Genomic DNA, 6,251 nt, shown 5'->3' on the forward strand with positions numbered 1-6,251 from the left:
GGCAGAAGTCTGCTGCAGTGCTGGAGTTCTAGGGGAGAATCTCTACTAGGGCAGTGAAGAGAGGAAATGTGGGTGTTGAAGCCCCTACACAGGGTCCCCACTTGTACAATGCCTAGTAGAGCTGTGAGAAGAGGGCCACTGTCCTCCAGACCCCAGAATGGTAGATCCACTGACAGTTTGCACCATGCGCCTGAAAAAGCCTCAGGCACTCAACACCAGCTCATGAAAACAGCCACAGTCTGTACCCTGAAAAGCCATGGGGCTGAATGGCCCAAGGCCTTGGAAGCCCTCTCCTTACACCAGCATGTCCTGGATGTGAGACACAGAGTCAAAGGAGATTATTTTGAAACTTTAAAATTCAATGACTGCCCTGTTGGCTTTTGTACTTGCATGAGGACTGTTTTCCCTTTGTTTTGGCCAGTTTCTCACATTGGAATGGCAGCATTTACCCAATGCCTGTGCCACCATTGTATCTTGGAAGTATCTAACTTGTTTCTGATTTTATAGTCTCATAGGCAGAAGGGACTTGCCTTGTCTCAGATGAGACTTTGGACTTGGAGTTTTGGGTTAATACTGTAATGAGCTAAGACTCTGGAGGTGTGTTGGGAAGTCATGATTGGTTCTGAAATGTGAAAGAGACTGCTGTTCTTAAAATCAAAGAAAAATGATGACATTTTGATACTTAAATTTTAATGAATTTACTAAAGAGTATCTTGATTCATTTTTGATACTCTGTGTTTAAAATAAAATACTTGGTTTATTATAGAAACTCTACATTCCAATAAAACGTACAGACAATATACCCACAGTGGCCAAAAACTCAGTGGTTGGAAAGTAACCTCAAATATATTTAAAAATGTGAAATAAAAAAGAATTCAAAGTATTCTATGGAAGGGTTTTTTTTTTTTTTTTTTTTTTGAGATGGAGTTTCGCTCTTGTTGCCCAGGCTGCAGAGCAATGGCACAATCCCAGCTCACCACAACCTCCACCACCTGGGTTCAAGTGATTCTCTTTCCTCAGCCTCCCAAGTAGCTGGGGTTACCGGCATGCACCACCATGCCCGGCTAATTTTGTATTTTTTTTGTTGTTGTTAGAGACAGGGTTTCTCTATGTTGGTCAGGCTGGTCTCGAACACCCGCCCTCAGGTGATCCGCCCGCCTCAGCCTCCCAAAGTGCTGGGATTACGGGTGGAAGTGCTCTAATACTAACATTTGGCCAAACTGTTTTAAAATTCTTCTTCCATACTTACAAGAATCGAAATGCAAATTATGAAATAAATACTATATAAAAGTAATTATGCTCAACATTATATTTTTGTGTTATTTTATAAGGTAATGTAATAATTAGGTACACAAAGAACAACTTTTGGTGTGAAATTGCATTTAGTTCTGAGTGCATATATCTATTTGTGGCTTTTTTCTATTTTTAATAATGAATAGAGTGCTGCTGCAATTCTGCAAACAAATGTATCTTTTTTTCCTTTTCTTGAGACAGAGTCTCATTCTATACCTAGGCTGGAGTGCAGTGGTGTGATCACAGTTCGCTGGAGCCTCCACCTCCTAGGCTCAAGTGATCCTCTCACCTCACCCTCCTGAGCAGCTGGGACTTACAGGTGTGCGGCACCACTTCTGGGTAAATTTTGTATGTTTGGTAGAGGCAGGGTCTTGCCATGTTTCCCAGCCTGGTCTCAAGCTCCTGGACTCAAGCAGTTCACCCGCCTTGGCCTTCCATAGGCCCGGCTTACTAATGTAATTTAAAAGACTTTACAGAATAGTGTAATGATTCAAATTGAATATTCTAAATTAGATTTATGCTGCTAACAAAATGTTTTTTAAACGTAGGGCATTTATTCATATTTTCTTCTCTAAATAAGTTTCCTTATGTTCTATATTTATGTCAATGTCTCGATCTATATGTATTTATCTACAAATCTATTGATTTAGTTTTCATGTATGTTGTAGACTTTCATATTAACTATGGTAACACCATATAATGTTAAATCAGTACACTCATCTTTGAGGGACTATCATGTTATTCTCTCATACGCTCTTTCTCCTTATCTTTTTAATTTTGATATTTGACTGTTATATTTTCTTATGAGAGTTTAGCTATAAACATAAAAAAACTAAATTATTAATAATAGTATTATTAATAATTTATTTATTGGAGGGCTGACACTTCAATGACACAATTTGAATGAAAGAGAACAGTATCTTATCATCTGATTTCATTTTTTAAAGTGTTAAAAATATTTTAATTGTATTTAATTCGTTTGATATTTTTAATCCTGATGTTATATGCCATGTAACAGAGTATCAAGCGACAGGTTGTTAAGATATTTTTTCCCCTAGGACTGTAGTATGATCTCTCACTTTTTGAATGTATAAGCTTATGGAGACATATGTTACTTTATATTACTTCCCCCTGTGATTTACATTTTCTAATAGCAAGTTAATATGAGAAAGCCAATGAAGTAAAAAAATATAGCATTGAAATACACCTGTGTTATTACTGACAACTGGGTATTGGGATGATGCTCTCTGCCTTCTAATGCTGAATATTTCTCTTGATTATTAGTTTTCCTGTTTGCTTATTTGTTGTAACTTTTTCCTTACTGCTCAGGTCAAAGTTTAGGTATTAAGTTCATCATCTGAACTTTTGCTTGAAGACAGTTATATCTCCTGTGTAAAAGTGAGGTCTTAACTTGTACAGAGCACCATGTGTGATCCCATTTATTCATGCAGTTGGGGATCATCTAGCCCAGGCAGAACTATGTCTTGTCTGTGCCTTGGCTTGCTTGAGGGCTGCTACCCAATCACAGCCCTCTCCTAGCAATCTAAAGGTGAGAAGAGGACACACGTTTACAAAACAGTCTTTCAAAAAATAATGGGCTGTGGGGAGATTGATCCAATGTAGGCTTAGAACATCAGAATATTCCTCTCCCTAATACTGTGACCAAATTACATTCTAAACCTTGAGAAAGACTAATCCTAGCTTTACCTTTTGTAGGTTGAATGGGAGCAGGGTAGCACATTTTAGTTTCTAGAGATACCATCAAAACAGTGTCATATCAGAAATCAGCTGTGGCAGGCATGGTAACCTTTATTTAGTAATGAAAGGAGATAAGAGAGAAAGCATACAACCATGTCCTACTCCATTACATGATTAAATGTTTGAGAGTGGATTCTTTTCTTCTGATCACTTATCTGAGCAAGAGCTGGCATTATCTTCTAGGTATACTCATTGGGAACTGAGACAAGTTTTAATTCTATCAGATTATGTGTGTGTGTGTGCGTGTATGTGGCAATTAAAACATCTATTCAAATGATGATCATAATTTTCCTCCAAAGGACTAATGAAGTGAAATATCGATTTTGAGGAGACTTATTAGGATAATAAAATGCAATGACATTCTGAAGACTAAGGCTATAATTTAATTTTTTTCTATTGTTTTACCATAAAAACAAGGGTGAGAAACCTACGAGGCATTAGGACGTTTGAATATGTTGGAATTGGATCTTTGTTTTGATTGACATTGAACGACCAGACCCTTTCATTCAGTTCTGTGTGTCTGTTGTATTCTTATGTAAACTCATCATTTTTACTCTTTTTTTTATTTTATTTTATTTTTATTTTTGAGACAGAGTCTCGCTCTATCGCCCAGGCTGGAGTTCAGTGGCGCGATCTCGGCTCACCACAAGCTCCGCCTCCCGGGTTCACGCCATTCTCCTGCCTCAGCCTCCCGAGTACCTGGGACTACAGGCGCCCACCACCACGCCCAGCTAATTTTTTTTGTATTTTTAGTAGAGATGGGGTTTCACCGTGTTAGCCAGGATGGTCTCGATCTCCTGACCTCATGATCCGCCCGCCTCGGCCTCCCAAAGTGCAGGGATTACAGGCGTGAGCCACCGCGCCCGCCCATTTTCACTCTTTAAGAGATTGTATAAAAGTTTTCTTCTGACCTTTCTTCTAGTTTACTAGTTCTCTTTAGTTGTTCTTCTCTACTTTTAAACTTACCTATTTCTTGAGTTCCTAATTTTTGTCATTACAGCAATCATTCCCAGAATTTCCATTTTATTCCCTATGGCATCACATCTTCCATTTAAATTATTCTTGTCATTTCATTTCTTGAAAGTATTAATTGCTGTTAAAGTCCTTCAGTGTCTGACCTGCCTGTTAGTCTGTTTTCAGTGTTTCTTCTCCCGTCTCATTTCTCAGACCATCTACTTTTTTTTTGATGCCTGCTATTTTTTCCCCTGTGTTTTGGGCATTGTGATTTGATGCTCTGTAGGATGTTTCTATTTTTCAGAGATCATTTATTTTTGCATTGGGTTGGCTATTATGTAGTGACAGATCCCCCTAATCCAAGCAAAGATTGAGCAGATCTGTGGGGGCTAATTTATGTTTAGGTCCCCTTTACTTCTAGTATATATCCCTTGTTATTCCTAAATAATACCCTGGAGTTTGTACGGCTCCTGAATTCCAAATTTGTCCCTTTATTCCTTGGAGCCAGCCAAAAGCCTCAGGTGAAAAATGATATTAAATACTGAGCTCGTCTCCCTGTATGCCTCTCCTCTCTCAGACTTTGGCCTTTCAAAACTTTTGTGACTTGCAGCCTTACCAATACTTTTAAATAGGTGTGTGTGTGTGTTTACATGTGTGTTCATATGTGTGTGTTCATGCATGTGTACAAGGATATGTGTATGTTCTATCCACCTTCTCTTCTTCTTCTCTTTGGGAAGTTTAGCTGAAATTAAAATAGTCTGCAATTTTGAGAAGACATTCCTTGTTAGGAAGTAAGTTGTGGTATAGCAGTGTGCCTGGAATTGTGCATAAACCTAAGAGAACTGGCAGGCAATTAGTCACACAGCTATGACAAGTTCTACGCACATGCATAGAAATGCATCACTAGGCAATTTTGTTATGTGAACATTATAAAGTGTACTTACACAAACCTAAATCGTATGACCTACTGCACACCTAAACTATATGTTGTAGCCTATTACTCCTATGCCACAAACTGGTACAGCATGTAACTGTACTAAATACTGTAGGCAACTGTAACACAGTGATAAATAATTGTGTATTTAAACATATCTAAGTGTAGAAAAGGTACAGTAAAATTATAGTATAAAAGATAAAGAATGGTATACCTATATAAGGCATTTACCATGAATGGAGCTTGCACGACTGGAGATTGCTCTGTGTGAGTCAGTGAGAGAGAAGTGAGTGAATGAGAAGACCTAGGACGTCACCACACACTATTGTCGATTTTATAAACACTGAATATTCAGGCTACACTAAATTTATTAAAATTTCTTTTCTTTCTTCAATAATATATTTACCCTAGCTTATTGTAACATCTTTATTCTATGAACTTTTAAAATTTTTAACTTTTGGGCTTTTTGTAAGAAAATTTAGCTTAAAACACACACACATTGGGCAGTCATACAAGAATATTTCTTTCTTTATATTCTGATTTTATAAGACTTTTTTCCATTTTTAAAATTTTTTATCTTTATTTTTATAATTTTGAGCTTTTTTTGTCTGTCTGTTTGTTTTTTTTAAAAACTAAGACATAAACAGATTTGCCTAGACCTACATAGGGTCAGGAGAATCTGTATCACTGTCTTCCATTTGTACATCTTGTCCTGCTGGAAGGTCTTCTAGGTCAATAACACGCATGGAGCTGCCATCTGCTATGACAACAATGCTTTCCCCTGGAATACCTCCTGAAGGACCTGCCTGAGGTTGTTTTACAGTTAACTTTTTTTCTTCTTTTTTTGTAGAGACGGAGTCTTGTTCTGTTGCCCAGGCTGGAGTGCAGTGGCGTGATCTCAGCTCATTGTAACCTCTGCCTCCCCGGTTCAAGCAATTCTCCTGCCTCAGCCTCCCAAGTAGCTGGGACTACAGGTGCACACCGCCCCGCCTGGCTAATTTCTTTTGTATTTTAGTAGAGACGGGATTTCACTGTGTTGCCCAGGCTGGTCTCGAACTCCTGAGCTCAGGCAATTTGCCCGTCTCAGCCTCCCAAAGTGCTAGGATTACATGCATGAGCCACCACGCCCTGTCTTTTTTTGTCGTTGTTGTTAAGTAGAAGGAACACACTCTAAAATACTGATAAAAAGTATAACAAAGTAAATACATAAACCAGCAACATTGTCATTTATTATCATTTTCAAGTATTATTTACTGTGCCTAATTGTATGTGCTACACTTTTATATGAATGGAAGTGCAGTAGGTTTGTTTA

This window comes from Homo sapiens, chromosome 5 (genome assembly GCF_000001405.40).
Source record: "Homo sapiens chromosome 5, GRCh38.p14 Primary Assembly".
In the NCBI taxonomy this organism is placed as follows: domain Eukaryota; kingdom Metazoa; phylum Chordata; class Mammalia; order Primates; family Hominidae; genus Homo; species Homo sapiens.